Raw genomic sequence first — 18,528 nt, 5'->3', positions numbered from 1 at the left:
AAGATATGTATATGGAATTATACTGCTCTAGGATAACTGTATATAGGAAATATAAAGTGAGAAGTGGGTAGTGCCAGGTATGACATTGGAAGAGGGAAATAGCATGGTGGTGTTGCTGAGTTGAGAAAACAGAGATTGAAATCAGGGAGGCTTTAGCATCTGGAATTTGGGGCCACCATTCCAGAGAGGATAGAGCTGCAGGGAAAAATAACTCCACGGAGAGAGCTAGTGATTCTCCAGTCCTGCATATTACAAGCCCGATGGACTCAAAGTTGGAGATAGAGTCCCTGTAGTCTGATGTTTGCCTCTCTAAATTGCTTTTGAATGCATTCGAAATGCAAATTCCAGAATGCATGAGTAATATTTCTGTCTCTGAGTTTCCTCCAATTATATTTGTTCTTGAAAGTCTGGTGTGTCCTCCCAGTCATTCATTCTGATTTTTCTGGACAATAGGATAATATTTTATGTTTTGTTTCTAGCATACTTATTGATGAACTCAAAATGGTTTTCTTGGACATAATATCAAGTTGGACTTCCATTTTCAAAACCATAGGCTTTGAGAGGCCTATGGCAGGCCTCTCAAAGTCTTTGAGAGGCCTATGGCAGGCCTCTCAAAGTCTTTGAGACTTTGGGAGGCCAAGGCAGGAGAATTGCTTGAGCCCAGGAGTTTGAGACCAGCCTGAGCAACATAGCAAGACCTCATCTCTACAAAAAAATATAAAAAATTAGTTAGGCATGGTGGCATGCACCTATAGTCCCAGTTACTCAGGAGGATGAGATGGGAGGATCGCTTGAGCTTGGGACCTGGTCAAGGCTGCAGTGACCGTGATGGTGCCATTGCATTCTAGCCTGGGTGGCAGCAAGATCCTGACTCCAGAAAAATAAATAAATAAAAAATAAAAATAAATAAAAACAAAAAAAAAACTATAATGAAGAAACTTTATTTTATTTCAGATTTTTAAATTAATTTTTAGATTTTATTGTCTTATTTTTTGAGGCAGGGTCTTGCTCTATCACCCACGCAAGTTCAGTGGTGCTTTGAGCATTTCATTTACTTACATATTTCCCATAACCATATTTGTGCTGCTGTCTCTTGATTATTTATTTTTAGATACTAACTCATACTATCCTACCATGGTAGATGAGGATTCAGGTCTTTTGCTCTGCTCTTGCCCATCCAGTACACATCCTCTCTATCCTCCCAATGTAATTATCACACAATACCTCGTTAAATCCTGTTTGGTATTTTATTATGACAATACAAATACTCATCGTCGTGTCATAGTTTTTTTAAATTGCATTTCTTTTCTTCAGAACCTTTTTATTCTTCCTGGTGTAAGTGACCACTTTGCTCTGCTTAATTTCCCGTGTAATTGTCACCAATTTATCCTCAAACTCTCCACCACGTTGAATTACTTAATAAAAGGAATTTAGCAGTTCCTTTTTTTCCCATGGAGATATTCATACTGGAGTCTTGCATTCTCCTAATCTGGACTGTTCGTTCTAGAGACCTACTGCATAGGTACTATCCTAGGACTACCTTTCATCGTCTTCATGGAATTTATGTTGTTCTCTAGTATTGGACTCTGTTTCCTGGATCCTGTGTGGTGATAGCTGCCTGAGGAAGGTTCCATTGGAAGTAAATATTTCATAATCTTCCATGTCTGAAAAATGCCTTCATATTGTATTGATAGTTTGTCTGGACATAGTATTCTAGATTTGAAACTATTTTCCTCTTAGAATTTAGAAGGCATTATGTTGTCTTTTAACTTACAGTGTTGCTGTTAAGACATCTGACACCATTCTGAGTCTCAGTCCTTTTATTACAGCCTTTCTCTCTATATCTGGAAGCTTTTAGAATGTTTTATTTATTCCCAATGTCCTGAAATGTTATGATTGTTGACTTTGTGTGGGTCATTATTTATTATCTGGACAGCTGCCTCAAATCTACGAGCTTTTCCCAAGTTTGTGACTTTCAAATTAAGTTTCAACTTACTTTTTCTGTTATATCTCGGTCAAAACCATACCAGCTGAATCAATTTACCTTAAGAAGTCAATTTCTGATGGTGAGGTGTTTGCTATAATTCTTTTTCTTGCTCTAAAATTATCTTGGCTATTCTTGGCCCTTCATTTTTCTATGTGATTGTTAGAATTAGCATATTGGTTTATATCCATACATGTACATACATGTGAACAATCCTTCATAAACACTGGCTTATGTATTTAAGACCTGCTTTGAAATTAGCTTAATTTTGGGAACATTTATGTCTATAACATGGAATCTTCTCATCTATGAATGTTGTGTTTCTTTTTATTGTTTCAGGTTTTATGTCTGTTAATACAGTTCCATGATGTTTACTATTAATCCATTACCTAGATGAGTTAGATTTGCTCCTAAACGACTTATGGATTTTTTAATGTTACCTGTATTATAAATGATACTTGTTTAAATTTGCAGTTTAATAGTGTGTTGCTCTTCTTTAGGATTAGAATTGATTTTGTATATTCATCCTGAATCTAGCAATCTTGCTAATTTTTTATCGGTTTAAAATAGTTTATAGATTCTTCTAGATTTTTCATATAATAAATCATGTAATCCGTAAATTATGAGAAACTTTGGGTTTGTTTCTTCACAATCTTTATATGTGCTATTTTTTTCTCTTACCATGGAGTCTAATGACCTTCAGTACAATGTTAAATAGGTGCAGTAATGTTTCTGTAGCTTCAAATTAATTTAATGTTTGCAGTTAGCTTTTGGTATATATATCTTATCAAATTAAGAAATCCCTTCTCATTTCTGATTACCAGAGTTTTTTTGTTATGATTCTGGTTGTAACTAAATTACTTCTCTGCATCCATCAAGATGATGTTAGGTTGTTTTTCCTTTAATCAGTTAATCTGATAAATGACAGCTTTTCCATTGTTAAATCATTCATTCTTTGAGTAAATATGACTTTATCAAGATGTTATATTGCAGTATTTTAACACATTCCTAGTTGACTCTACTACTATTTTATATAGTATTGTTACCTGGCATTCATACATGACATTGGTCATATCTCAGACTGGAGTATAATTTTTTTTCCTTAAATTGTTCTTGTCTGATTTTTAGGTTTAGGTCATTTTAGCCTTATAAAATAAACAGAGGACCCATATTTTCCCCTTACCCATTTTGGCTCTAGAACAGTTTATAGTACAGTTGTCTGTTAACTTATGTCATTGGTAGAATTTACTTTTAAATCACCTTAGCCTGGGTGAAGTTTTGTTTTCTTCTATTTTATTTTGTTTTGCAGATAGATTTTGTACTATTGATTCAAATTTTTAATGATTATAGGTCTGTTGGACTTTCTCTTTCTTCCTGAGTTTTAATACGTTATAGTCTTTTCAATGAAAATTGTCCATTTTCTCTGAGTTTTCAATTGTATTGCCATAAAGTAGTTCAGACCACCTTCTTCCTAGTTTTAACATCTTTGTTACAGTGTCATTTTGCCCCCCTTTTCCTAGTATTGTTTATTTGTGCTTCTCTTTTCCTTCGTAAGTTTTGATACAGAGCATTCTACTGTTCAATTCTAAATATTTTCCAACTTAAGTTAGAATTCTTCTATGGGCCACTATTTAGTGATATGCCTTTTTAATATTCATAGTATTATATTTATTTGTTTAGTTAGTTATTCCTGGTTTCAGTTTACTGTAGATTGGGTCTATTTGGTATCAGATTTTTTTGGCATTTTTTGAAATTTGCTTTGTGATTTTGTAACAGGCCAGTTTTTATATGTTCTATGTTTATTTGAAAAGAATACTTTTTTTTTCTAACTTTTGGGTACAGATGTATATGCCCATAAGATTAAAATTGCTAATTTTGTCATTCAGTTTTTTTGTGTTCTTAACCATTTTATTTCTCTGATCTATTTATTCGTTTTTTAAAAATCCTTATGATGGTAAATGTGTTAACTTTTCTTTGTAATCATCAATGTTTTGCACAGCTCTTTTGTAGCTTTGCTGTTAGGTATATATTATTCAGAATTGACATTTCTTCCAGGGTATTTTCTTTTATATTATATTAATGAATTTTTAAAAAATCTCACAATGATTTTGGCATGAGGATATATTTAATTGATATTACTGTAGCTACCTTAAGTTTCTTTTCTTTATCATATGCCTGATATATCCCTTTCCATCCATTTACTTTTAACTTTCCTGCGTCCTTATGTTTTAAGTGCATCCCTTTTAAACAGATTATTGCTGATGTTTTTCCCATTTGTTCATTTTGGTTTTGTGTGTTGTCCTGTGTAACAGGTTTGTTTAACAGGTGAATTTAATCCATGTATAAATTTTGTGATTATTAATATACTTATTTCTAGTATCTTACGTGCAGTTTATTATTGGTTTTGCTTGTTTCTTTGCATGTATGCTTGAGTTTGTTTTCTTCTTTCTTGCCTTCTGTTGACTTGATCAAGTTTAGCTTTTAAATTTCTCTTTGTTTGGAAGTTACATTTCTAAGTATTTTAGTGTTTATCTTTACATTTTTAAACATTTGTAGTTTACCTGCTGTCTAGAGTTTATCGGTTTTTCTGCCACATTCCCTATCAAAACAAGAAACTTAGATTACTTCACACTGTAATTAACTCAACGTGTAACACTCACAACAAAAATTAACTCAAAATCGGTCAAAGACCTAAATACAAAAACTAAAACTGTGAAACTCTTAGAAAAAAAATAGAAGGGATACTTTTATGACCTTGGATTTGTCAGTGATTTCTTGGGGATGACACAAAATTACAGGCAACGAAAGAAAAAAATAGATAAATTCGGCAATATCTCCATTAAAACTTCTGTACATCAAAGGGCACGATCAGAGTGAAAAGGCAACATGGAATGAGAGAAAATATTTGCAAATCATATGTCTAATAACAGGTTAGTCTCTAAAATATGTAAAAACTCCTACAAGTCAGCAACAAAGAACAAAGGACCCTGTTAAAAAATGGACAAGGTATTTATTTATTTGTATTTTATTTTATTTTAGAGACAGAGTCTTGCTCTGTCGCCTAGGCTGGTGTCAGTGGCGTGATCTCGGCTCACTTATCCTGCCTCAGCCACCCGAGTAGTTGGGATTTCAGACATGCACCACCACACCCAGCTAATTTTTTTTTTTTTTTTTTTTTTGTAGAGACTGGGTTATGACCTCTTGGCCAGGTTGGTCTCAAACTCCTGACCTCAAGTGATTGACCCACCTCAGCCTCCCAAAGTGCTGGGACAAGGAACTTAAATAGACATTTCTCCAAAGAAGATATTTAAATGGCCAATTAGCACTTGAAAAGGTGCTCAACATCACTAATAATTAGAGAAACACAAAACCACAGGGATACACCATCTCACACTCAGCAGGATTGCTACTATCAAAAAACAGAAAATAACAAGTGTTGTCAAGGATGTGAACAAATTAGGATCCTTGGGCACTGTTGGTGGGAATGTAAAATATGGAAAATGGTATAGGTAGCTCTTCAAAAAATTGAAAATAGAATTACCACGTGATCCAGAGTTCCTCCTCTGGGTATATACCCAAAAGAAGTGAAAGCAAGGAGTTGAACATACATTTGTACACTCATTTTTAGAGCAGCATTGTTCACAGTAGCCAAAGGGTGACAGATGAATGGATAAACAAAATGTGCTGTATACATACAATGGAATATCAATCAATTTTAAAAAGAAAGGAAATTCTGACACGTGCTACAACATGGATGAAACCTTAGGACATTATGTTAATGAAATAAGCCAGTTAGAAAAGTACAAATATTTTATGATTCCACTTATGTGAGATAACTATAGTAATCAAGTTCAAAGAAACAAAGTACAATGGTGGCTTCCAGGGTCTAGGGGAAGGGGAAATGGGGGAATTACTGATGGGTACAGAGTTAAAATTTTCCAAGATGAAAAAATTTTAGAGAAGGATGGTGGGGACTGGTTGCACAACAGTGTGAAGGTACTTATGCCATTGAACTGCACACTTCTAAAAATCATTAAGATAGTAAATTTTATGTCTATTTTTACCACCATTAAAAATAATAATTAAAAATTTAAAAAACCTAAGAAATTTAGAATACTTGAATCCTGTTTACACCCTCAGTAATATGTTTTTGTTTTTCCAGTGTTTAATTTCCAACTTCTTTTTTTTTTTCTTTTTTTTTTTTTCAGGGAGGTAAAGTGGGTGGTTTTTAAAAATTTTTATTTTTCTATTTGTAAACTGACAAATTATAGTTGAATACATTTATGGGGTAAACTTATTTTTCAGCCCTAAGGTGGTTACTCCTGCCTCTTTTTCTAGTCCTTGTCCTCCTTCTTCTTCATTATGTTATCCAATTAACCACCATTTAAATGTATTAGTAAAGTTTACTAATATCTTTGTTCATAATTGCTTCTAGTATCACATTCTTCCATCTTGGTTAAATTTCTTGTTTTCCGAAGTATACCCTTTAGTGCTTGTTTAGCCGAAAGGAAATGTTAGCGATAGTTTACTCAGTCTTGTGTGAAAATGTATCATTTCTGTATCATAATTTAGGTAGGTAGGTAATACTATATTGACAATTATTTTTTCTTATCACTTTGAAGGTACAACTTCATTTTCTTCTGACTGCAATTCTTAGTTATTAATAATTCAGCTGTTGGTCTAATTGTCATTTCTTAGTAGATAATCTCTATTCTTTAATGTTTTTAAAATCTCTTTGGCTTTGGTATTCTGTAGTTTAATTCCAATGTGTATAGACATGAGTCTGGTTTTATTTATCTTCTGAGTACTTTTTGTTTTTTTTGTTTTTTTTTTTTTGAGACAGGGTTTCACTCTTGTCGCCCAGGCTGGAGTGCAGTGATGCCATCTCTGCTCACTGCAACCTCAACTTCCCAGGCTCAAGCAATCCTCCCACCTCAGCCTCCCGAGTTGCTGGTAGTACAGACATGTGCCACCATGTCCAGCTAATTTTTGTATTTTTTGTAGAGATGTGGTTTCACGATGTTGCCCAGGCTGGTCTCCAACTTCTGAGCTCAAGTGAAACACCCGCCTCAGCTTCCCAAAGTGGTGGGATTACTGGTGTGAGCCACTGCGCTCAACCTCTTCTAAGTACTTTATGCCCTTCCTGCATCCAGGAATTCGAGTCTTATATCATTCTTGAAAAAATTTAAGCTTTGTCTCTTTGGATATTGCTTTCCACTATTCTCTCTTTTATCTCATTCTCTTATACTATGTTGAACTTGTCCATTCTAGGGTCTGTACGTCTTAGCCTTTCTTCCAAATTTTCCGTTTTTTAAGTCTTCATATTAGATGCTAGTAATTTCTTCAGCTCTTCTTCAGGTTTATTATTCTCGTCAACTGTATCTAATCCACTGTTTACCTATTTATTACGTTTATTTTATTTCAGTGACTATTTTCATTTCTAGGACTTCCGTTTGATTTTTAAAAACTTTTGTGTTTGTTGATTTTTTTAGGTCTTTAATAATTTTAAACATGCTTATTTCATAGAGTGGATCTGATTGTTGTTAGGGATCTATTGTTCTGTTTGTTGGGATTTCTGAGTTACTCATAATAGACAGTTTACTCATTTGGTTTATATTATTGGATTGTGAGTTCATATTCAGCAAGATTTTATGTTTAAGAATTATATCTGCCAAATTTGAGCATGTGTCCTCCAGAGTAGATTTGAATTTGTTTTGCTTCCTAGAGGCAACTAACCTTGGGTCAGTGTTAATGCCGGTTTCTTGGCTTGGGAACTTTTCAACCACAGAAGCGGTGTGCATTTGAATCCCAAATGTTGAGACTATGTGATGTAATGTTACGAATTTCTACAGGAACAATATTTTTCATTCATCACACATTAGTCAAGATAGATGAAATGTCTTGTCCGTCTCTGCTTTGTGGCAGATTTTTATAATGTACCGTTTTTCTTACAGTATACGTTTTAAGGCAAAAGGTATGTATATAGGGCAGCCTTTGTCTTCAAACTCGCCCCCTCATGTAAGCTAAGGATAAGGTCTTTTCTTTTGTTCTTACCTCATATAAGCATAAGGTACTCGCTTTTGTGTATGTTAAAATTTGAGTACCTAGGAAATGAAAACCAACAATTCCCCAACCCTACTCATCTCTAATGCTTATTATCCTGATTCTCAAGCATTTCTTGATTACTGACCTCTAAGAATCTCTCTTTGTAAAAAAGTTCTTTTATATGTTTATACAAATAATTGTTATATTTTATCTAGCTTTTTTTTTTTTTTTTTTTTTTTTTTTGCTTTTGAGACCGAGTCTTGCTCTGTCGCCCAGGCTGGAGTGCAGTGGCGCAATCTTGGCTTACTGCAAGCTCCGCCTCCCGGGTTCACACCATTCTCCTGCCTCAGCCTCCTGAGTAGCTGGGACTGCAGGCATCCACCACCATGCCTGGCTAATTTTTTTGTGTTTTTAGTAGAGATGGGGTTTCACTGTGTTAGACAGGGTGTTTGTCTAGCATTTTAAGAGTTTGTAATGGAAGGGTTTTCAAGTCATTTAATCTCAGTATTGCTAAAATGTAAGTTTATCCTAATTATTCAGAATTGGAAATGTAGTCTAGAAAATCCAAAATATTAACTGGTATTCTACTTTAGGAATGTTCATGTTTTGGATAAGTTCTTCTAAAACATGTAAAGGGCTAATATTCTTTTACTTCAAAGTACCTTACAACATGCATACCCAGGATTTTTCTAGTTACCTGTTTTATTTTTTCTTCCACTTTTTTACAGAGATAGGGTCTTGCTGTGTTGCCCAGGCTTGTCTCAAACTCCTGGGCCCAAGTGATTCTCCCACATTGGCTTCCCAAAGTGCTGGGATTACAGATGTCAGCTCCCATGCCTGGTTTTAATTACCTGTTTTCTAATTAAACCTAACCTGCTATAACAAGTACTCAACTTTTTTTCTCTATTGGAACTTTAGATTTTGAAGGATATACCTCTTCTTTTATAGTTTTTTAAATTAGTAAGTAGTTTGTTGTACATTATTGACGTGTATTTTCTTAGGTTTCTATTAAGGAGTTTGAACATAATCTCCAGGCTTCTCATAGTGTTGGCCTAAATATCAGGAGCTTTTTCCCCCCATCTCATTGTACAATTTTGACGGTTTCATTTTTTTTTTTTTACACGTATAGGTTTGACAGGTAATTATCAATAATGAGTGTTCTAAACCAAATATTCAGTTTGTTCTTAATTGGTATGATGGTTTAAATTAAATTGTTCCTCTCAATGTCATCAGTTAAGTAACACTATAATAAAAGTTCTATAGTGTTATGAAATCCTGAAAACTATTAATGTGGGGATAATATACAATTTAACATATATACAAGGATTATTATTATTTTTCAGATAATGACAAAGATGTGTTTATGAGATAATAATGTCTATTGTGTATCTTAAGTAACTATTTAAAATATTTTATTTCTAATATAGGAGATTAATAAAAATGTAAATTTCTTCAGGTTCAGTCCTCAGTGGCTGTAGGAACTCCAGATTATATCTCTCCTGAAATCCTTCAAGCCATGGAAGATGGAAAAGGGAGATATGGACCTGAATGTGACTGGTGGTCTTTGGGGGTCTGTATGTATGAAATGCTTTACGGAGAAACACCATTTTATGCAGAATCGCTGGTGGAGACATACGGAAAAATCATGAACCACAAAGTTAGTATGTTTTACTTTTGTTCAAATTAATGTGGTAAATAACACATATAATAAAACCATTTTTAAAGAGAAAATATTTTTCTAAAAACAGTGAACAATCACATTTCTATCCTAGTATGGGACAGGACAACATAAATAGTCAAAATCCATAAATTATTCATAAGTTATTAGTTCTAATTTTCTTGTATTTTATTAGAGATGCCGCTAAGTAGGAAATTAAGTGGTCTCCCCAGTAGAATAACAAAGGTCGTAAGTAGAGAATTTAGATCATTGCTTACTATAGTATATGTATAATCATGACTAGAATATGTGTAAAAAAATTTTCAACTTTAGTGGTAATAAGTGCAATACAAATTTAAAATAAGGATGAGATACTTTTTTTTCTTGTCAAATTAGCAAAGATCAAAAGAAAAATAGTACTCTGTACCATAAATAATGCAGTGAGATGGGCATTCTAAGACATTAATAGGAATATAAATTGGTGTAACCTTTCTGTTCAGGAAGTTTACAGGTGTGCACCTAGAGCCTTAAAAAATGGTTAGAGGTTTTGATTGAGCAACTTCAGTCTAGGAATCTACCCTATGACATTCTCAGTAGAACAAAGATATATGTACAAGGATACCTATTCTAACGTTATTTATGATCACAGAACACTAGAAGCAACACAGACACACAACAAGAACAAATTAATGAAACGTTAATATATTTAGTACTAAGTGAAATAGACTGTTCATAATAATAAGAAGAAAGGTTTTATTAGCAGTCTTAGAAGATTGTGAGCAGTTGCAAATACTTAGAATATGAATATCCGATAGAAGGGAATGATAATCTATTCTTTTTAATTTGTTCTAGTGAAGCAATTATGATTAGTTGCTTTACATGTATAAAAATCAGTTTTATAGGGTTTATATTCTTCTTCCTGTTTGCAAAGATAATGTTTCATATAGTTATAAAGAGTTGAAAGACTGGAAATAGCAGCAGGGTTGTAAATAGCATGTACATCATTTGAATTAGAAAAAAATATTGTAGTATATATTTAACAGCACAGATTACAGCTTCAGTTCAAATTCTGGTTCTGCCACTTCCTAGATGTGTAATGTTGAGAAAGTTACTTGAATTCTGTGTGTCTTTATTTCTTCTATAATATTAGCATAGTAGGAGTACCCACCTAAAATGACTGTTTTGAGGGTTAAATGAGTAACGTACTTTAAATAGTGTCAGATACATATTATGTCCTTTAAAAATATTTATTATTAGTTAATCATTAGTATGTAACTTATATGACCATTATCAATCATCTATCTTGATTTAAATAGAGTCAAATTCCACTACTTTGAAGTAATTTCTCTTCATTCTGATAGCAGTTTAAGATATCTAAGGTACAATGTATTCTTCTTTCTATAGCGCATGCATGATTGAGTCATATATGAAATTAAAAGTCCTAGGAAAATGATCTTCTGTCATTCATCCCTGTATTCCTTTAGTATTAGTACTTTGCACCAACATGCAGTTATTAGATATATTTAAAATAAAATGTATTTTTAAGAAAATAAATAAGTCAACCAACTACTTAGTATGTTAAACACTGATTTATATTTTGTTTCTGTTTTTCTCTGTTTAGGAGAGGTTTCAGTTTCCAGCCCAAGTGACTGATGTGTCTGAAAATGCTAAGGATCTTATTCGAAGGCTCATTTGTAGCAGAGAACATCGACTTGGTCAAAATGGAATAGAAGACTTTAAGAAACACCCATTTTTCAGTGGAATTGATTGGGATAATATTCGGAACTGTGAAGCACCTTATATTCCAGAAGTTAGTAGCCCAACAGATACATCGAATTTTGATGTAGATGATGATTGTTTAAAAAATTCTGTAAGTATGACACTGTGAAGAAGTTCTGTCCCTCTGTTTCTTTCTACTATGGTTATATAGTAATTTTTTGGTTTATAAGTATTTTGCTAGGATGATTTTACAATGATCAGTTATTAGTCAGTGATCATGGCTTCTGGTGCTTATTCTGTCACAAATCAAATTAAGAAGAAAGTTAACTGAGGTGAACATAGTTATTTGTGACTAAGAACAAAATTAAAATTCAAAGTTTTACCTCTTAGATAAGTTATGCCATTAAGCTTCGTAAGAGAACAAATTAGATATTTAAAAAAGCAGATTTTATGATTGTAAAGTGCAGAGGTTGGCAAATTTCTCCCTAAAACCATAAAACTGGACAAAATTATCAAAATCAACCATGTCAGGGCCTGATACAACAATTGAAGAGAAATAAATTGAGAAGCATTTATTTGTGAAAAACTGCTGAACTTTAGTTTAAAGTCACATATACCACACACGTCCATCCCCACTACTGACTTGGTCTGGGACAGTAGTACTAGTAGCATGGAACTGGATAGAAAAATCAGCAGCTTTGCTGATACAGAGGGCAGATTCCAGGACTAAATACCCAAGCCCAGTGTGTTGCTGCTAACAATAGCAAACTTGGTAGGAAATCAATAGGGAAAATAGTCCACAGACGTGGTATAGCTCTGAGGTATAGCCCTGCCTGAGGTGAATACAGACCTCAAGCCAATTATTCGGCCAGTCCAATAGCCAAATAATTCAACCATTCTTAACTTGTGAGCCATGCCAAAACAGGCCAACATAGTATATTGACCTCTGCTATAACCCTTTAGGTTATATGAGATTAAAATTTAGGAAAATAAGAACTTAAAATTTTTGAGTTTTTTGCCTTTTTAGCCTTCCTCTTTTTTTTTTTTTTTTTTTTTTTTTTTTTTGAGACAGAGTCTCGCTCTGTCTCCCAGGCTGGAGTGCTGTGGCACAATCTCGGCTCATTGCAAGCTCCGCCTTCCGGGTTCACGCCGTTCTCCTGCCTCAGCCTCCTGAGTAGCTGGAACTGTAGGCGTGCGCCACCACACCTGGCTAACTTTTATGTTTTTAGTAGAGACGGGGTTTCACCGTGTTAGCCAGAATGGTCTTGATCTCCTGACCTTGTGATCCGCCCTCCTCAGCCTCCCAAAGTGCTGGGATTATAGGCATGAGCCACTGCTCCCGGCCCCTTTTTAGCCTTCTTAATTTGAGCTTTTATTTTTATTCAGTTATTTTATTTACTATGGCTTTAATCCTGTACTAAAAATTTTTATGTTAATGTTATATGACTTAACAAAATCTTTATTTTTAATTTTTGTGGGTACATAATCGGTACACGTTATATAACTTTTCACTGAAACAGTGAATACTATTTCAATACAATAAGCTGTGATCACTGTTTGATAACTGATAATTGTAAAACCATCCTAGTACTGTATTCAAGGCAGATAAAAATTTCTCATACTTTCCTGTCTAAACTTCACAAAGAATAATTAAACTGACTTCTCTTACCAATTTTTTATAAATAGAATTATATTTACTGTTAACAAATTATGAATCATTCCAAATTAAATACATAGTACAGTTGATCCTAATTATTCATGGAGGTTATGTTCTATATAGTTGCCTTGAACACTGTTAGCTAATATTGAACCATTGCTCTGAGGGAAATACAGGGTTAGGTTTCTGTGAGCCTCTGATCAACTGATCAATATATAGTCTTGTTTTATGTGTGCTTCTCTTTAAAGACACTTTATATAACATATGTTGTTGATTCATTAACACTGAACTCACCACTGAACTCACCACCAGCAGCACTGTAACTCGTGCCTGAATGAAGCTTTTCTAGCACATTATTTTCTCCATAAAGGCACATCACTGTCCTCTGGCGCTAGGAACACTAGACAGCGCTTCAGCACTATGCTTGGGAGCCTTTGCAAGCAGTGAATCACATACAGAGGGCCCAAAAATGTGAAATGCATGACACCAAAGAGACCCTGTAGAGGACACTTGTTTATAATATGAGAGCTTAAATGAGAAGGCAGAGCCTCTCCTGTTCAACCTCAGCTGGGAATGTGAGCATAGGACATCTCAAATTTTTCTCTGCTCTGCACGTGTCTACAAATGATCATAAAATTACCACAAGTATTGATTTGGGGTTTACAAATAAATATTAGCTTCTACACAAATTTGCAAATACAGAATACATGAATAATAATGACTGTATTCTCAATATCAGACTTTGAATCTTCATTTTACTTTAATTAGAATTTTAGAGTAGCAGTGTTCATGGTCTAAATTTTATATCACTAAACAACTATACCAAACTTACCAGTGTTTTAAAATTGAACAGTCACAATTTTTTTTTAAATATTTCTTTTTGGCATTTTATATTTATAGCCAAGCCTACAGATCATATAGCTATCTATTTCTTACCAGATGTTTTTTCCTCCTTTAGGAAACGATGCCCCCACCAACACATACTGCATTTTCTGGCCACCATCTGCCATTTGTTGGTTTTACATATACTAGTAGCTGGTAAGTTTGAAAAGTTAACATAGTTTGGGCCAAGTGCAGTGGCTCACGCCTGTAATCCCAACACTTTGGGAGGCCAAGACAGGTGTATCATGAGGTCAGGAGATCGAGACCAGCCTGGCCAATATGGTGAAACCCCATCTCTACTAAAAATACAAAACTTAGGTGGGCGTGGTGGCAGGTGCCTGTAATCCCAGCTACTCGGGAGGCCGAGGCAGGAGAATCACTTGAACCTGGGAGGTGGAGGTTGCAGTGAGCCGAGACTGCGCCATTGCAGTGCAGCCTGGGTGACAGAGCGAGACTCTGTCTTAAAAAAAAAAAAAGTTAACATAGTTTGGACAATTTAAAGCAAATTAAATTGAATTGAGGTTCGTAAAAGATGTATGAGAAAACTTTGTGAATTAAAACTTTTTAAAAAATAGAGTGAGCCTACTGCTGGAAATAGAAAGTTAAGCATTACAAAATGAATAGAACGCATGAAAATCTTAACTCGTTTTGGAGGGGAAAGAATGGAACAGAGAGCTCAGAATCTAATCCTTACCAATGAAGCAGTAATTAGAAGAGTTTCACGCTGTTGAATATTCTCTAGATGTCAAGCAGGAGAACTTTCAACCCATTAATTCTACCATCCTTTCACTGACCCTCACTTCACTTATATTCCCTATTTCCCCCTTACCCTGTTTAAATTCCATTGAGAATGATTATAATCACTCCTTGTATGCCATTTCAGTTCCTTTGACTGTCTCTCATTCTGTTATATTTGTTTTGCTAAGTGAACATTAACTATTACAATTTTATTCTCTACCTGTACAGTTCCAAATGACTAGAAAAAATAGCTGACTATTCTTACTGGTCTACTTTAAATTCATGATTACCAACCTCAAGTCCCCCTTGTCTGACAAATGTACTGTATTACCCTAGTATATTCACTCTTCCACTCACCTAGTAACTATTTTTTACTTTCTTTTTTTTTAAGAGATGGGGTCTTGTTCTGGGCAGCAGAAGGGCTGGAATGCAGTGGTGCAGTCCTAGCTCACTATAGCCTCAGACTCCTGGGCACAAATGATCCCCCTGCCTCAGCCTCCTGAGTAGCTGGGACAATAGGCACAAGCCACCATGCCCAGCTAATTTTTAAAACGATTTAGAAATGGAGTCTTGCTGTGCTGTCTAGGCTGGAGTGCAGTGGCACAGTCATAGATAACTACAGCCTCCTACTCCTCAAGCCGTCCTCTGGCCTTAACCTCCCCTGTTGCTGGGATTACAGATGTGAGCCACTGCATCTGGCCTATTTCTTTCTACTTGAGTTTGAAACCTCTGTCATCCTCACTTTCAGCTTGCATCTCCTTTCACTGAAAGGATTGAGGCAAACCGCAGACAACTTCCACAAGCTCCAGTTACCATATTTACCGCCTACTTACTGTTAGACCCAAATTCTCTGTTCTTTTCATGGATGAACTGTGCAAGCCTCTAGTAAGGCCAGTATCTTCCATCCCTTCCTGGCTAGTCTAGTGCATGTTTTGCTTTCATGTCATGAATTTTTTTCTTCTTGTGTCATCTGCATCATCAGATCATTTCTATCAGCTTACAAATGTCAGTTCTCCATCTTAATGCAAAATATAAAATCTGGATTCCTCTTCCTTTACCTCTTATCAACCATGTCTCTGCTTTACATTATAGAAAATTTACTTCAACTGTTGACTATATTTTGTTTATGTTTCTCATACTGTTGTTTCTTGAATCCATTCCAGTCAGGTGTGTGCCCCCATCACTTCATGCAAACTACTTTTATCGATGTCACTGTTGACCAACATGTTGCTAAATCTAATGATCACTTGTCAGTCCTAGTCTTACTTATTTGCTTAGTCTCATCTTATTTGCCACAGCTCCATACTTTTAAAATACCACCTTCTCCTGTCTTCTAGGGCACTTGACTGAGTTTCTCTCACCTTGCTGGTCATTCCTTCTCAGTCTCCATACCTGATCCCTCCTGATTTCCCTGGCTTGTTAATATCAGAGTGTCCTATGGCTCAGTCTTTGGACTTCTCTTTTCCATCTAAACTCTGTAGTGTTCTCCCAAAGATTTGCTGATGACTCCTAAACGTGCATCTCCAACTGAGACCTCTCCTCTCGTCTACTTAAAAATCTGTCTTAACCACCCACTTACTATGTAAATAACTTTCTTTTAGTTCTCTGATCCTGTTCAGGTGATCCTCTTAAAAGATAATCAGAACATGTCACTCCCCTGTTCAGAACCAGTCCACCCATCCCCAACTCCAGTGGCTTCATATTTTAACTCCAAATCAAACTTCTTACAAGGCCCTACATGACTGCCTTACTTTTATCTTTCTGAGTTTATTTTTCCTTGTTTACTCAACTCCATCCACACAGGCCTCCTTTCTGGGCTGTGAACATGCCAGACATACTCTTGTCTCGGGGCTTTAGTACTTCTGTTTCATCTGCTTGGAACATTCTTTCTTTTGATATTCCCTTAACTGGTCCCCTCACCCTTACTTAGCTTTTTCCAAAGTTACTTTAGCAGTGACAGCTTTCCTAACTTCTTTATCTAAATTTTTATTTCCTCCTCTTCAATACTTTATTTCTCCCTTTCCTGCTTTATGTTTTCTCCTTAGCATTTAACATTTTCTAATGTAATGAATATCTCCATTATTTTCTTTATTTCTGTCTCAGTCACTGGAATATAAGCTCTATATGGGCAAGGATTTTTGTCTGTTTTGTTCACCACCAAATGTCCAGCAGTTTCAGCATTTTTATTTAAATTGTATTGAATTAAAGACAGAAACTTGCTTTTGAATTTCAAATTCTAGTAAAGAGGGCCGTGGTTGGTGCTTTTGACTACTACTGTTTCACCTAGGTGGTCAAATTGTTTTAAACTACCAGTAACCCTTCAGCAAACTTAATTTTATAATTTGTGGGGTTTTTAAAATCATAATAATTTGGGGGATTTTAGGTTTTCATTTTTTAAAATGCTTCTAAAAACAGTTTATGGTGATTTTGCAAACAAATTTTTATAATTATTCCAGCTGGCTAACTGCAAGATATTCAGATCTGTGTTTTAAATGAGCAATTTAAAAATGTTTTTGCCATAAATGTGGAGTCAGTTAAAAACAATTTTTAAAAAATGTTAACGTTTTTCTTCAAGCTTTTTATCACAGTATGAACCTACATTTTTTTTTCTTTTCTTCAGTGTACTTTCTGATCGGAGCTGTTTAAGAGTTACGGCTGGTCCCACCTCACTGGATCTTGATGTTAATGTTCAGAGGACTCTAGACAACAACTTAGCAACTGAAGCTTATGAAAGAAGAATTAAGCGCCTTGAGCAAGAAAAACTTGAACTCAGTAGAAAACTTCAAGGTAAATATATTTTAAATATATTTTCACTTTTTGAATTGTACTCACAGTGTTATGAGCTGTTTATTATAAGTGGTTGTTTTATCTTTGAAAAAAATTATTTTAAGTGGTGAAAAATCAAGTTGTAGAGATGTATGCAGAACACAGCATAATACCATTTATGTAAAATCACACAGTTAATAGTAAACAACAACAAAATAGCTTTGGTCTCCTGTGGGTACATATTTATGTTTATAAAAATGTGTGGGAATACCTTTGGGGATGGGGAAATGGGACCCTCCTCACTTCGTTATAGCACTTTAATGACTTTTCCTATATTATTTGCTCAATCTTTAAGAGCTCTAGCTCCTTTCACACTGTCATTCTCTGCAGCATTGCTTCTGCCATATTTGGTGATTTTAAAATGCACATACACATAAACTTTTTAAGATTCTGAGTGAGTTTCTTGAGTCTTCACCTTCAGTGATTGTTTACTCCACCTGGTTTCATCCAGTCCATCCTATGGTAATAAGATATGTCTTAAGATTACAATACCTAAAACTCTTCTTTAATCGCAGTTTCCAGCAAATCTTTTATAATCTCCTGCTCATAATTTTTAGTGCTCTCTCTCTGACCCCTTAACTCCAGTATTTCTTCACTGCCACCGTTACCTACAAGTCTATCACCGTTTAACTCTGCTATTTATACCCTCATTTTTCGTTCTCTGGTCAGCCATAGTCATACCCTGGCATATACCTTCAAATCTATTGTTCCTCTTTCTCTTTGTCAAATACCTTTGGCAGAACCCCAACTGTGTTTGAATACAACTTTGTATCTTCAACTATCCAGCTGAAGACAGCTTGCTTAAAACACCCACAACGTGCTGACTAATATTAATTCAGATTCACAGACACTCACCTCAAGTCAGCTCTTCATGCTATTTCCCCTAGTCTATTTCCCTATCCTGTGTTGTAAAATCCAGTGATGATTTCTGTCTTCACCTTTTAACCTATCAGCAATATTTGACCCTATGGACCTTTTATTCCTTCTGATAACGCTCTCTTTTTTTTTTTTTGGCTTCTG

General features: G+C 34.8%; 1 protein-coding gene across 25 annotated transcripts in view; it reads left to right on the top strand.

The window, feature by feature from the left end:
- CDC42BPA (CDC42 binding protein kinase alpha) overlaps nt 1-18,528 on the top strand; it is a 328,635-nt gene that overhangs the window by 161,448 nt on the left and 148,659 nt on the right. For all 25 annotated transcript variants that reach the window (NM_001366011.1, XM_017002580.3, NM_014826.5 and 22 more), the window contains 4 exons: nt 9,486-9,686; nt 11,308-11,556; nt 14,021-14,100; nt 17,303-17,469. In NM_001366011.1, coding sequence (NP_001352940.1) covers nt 9,486-9,686; nt 11,308-11,556; nt 14,021-14,100; nt 17,303-17,469 — 697 coding nt within the window. The remainder of the gene's footprint in view (nt 1-9,485; nt 9,687-11,307; nt 11,557-14,020; nt 14,101-17,302; nt 17,470-18,528) is intronic.

Source organism: Homo sapiens, chromosome 1, assembly GCF_000001405.40.
Source record: "Homo sapiens chromosome 1, GRCh38.p14 Primary Assembly".
In the NCBI taxonomy this organism is placed as follows: domain Eukaryota; kingdom Metazoa; phylum Chordata; class Mammalia; order Primates; family Hominidae; genus Homo; species Homo sapiens.
The sequence above is the reverse complement of the archived record's forward strand: the minus strand, read 5'-3'. Positions and strand labels throughout refer to the sequence as shown.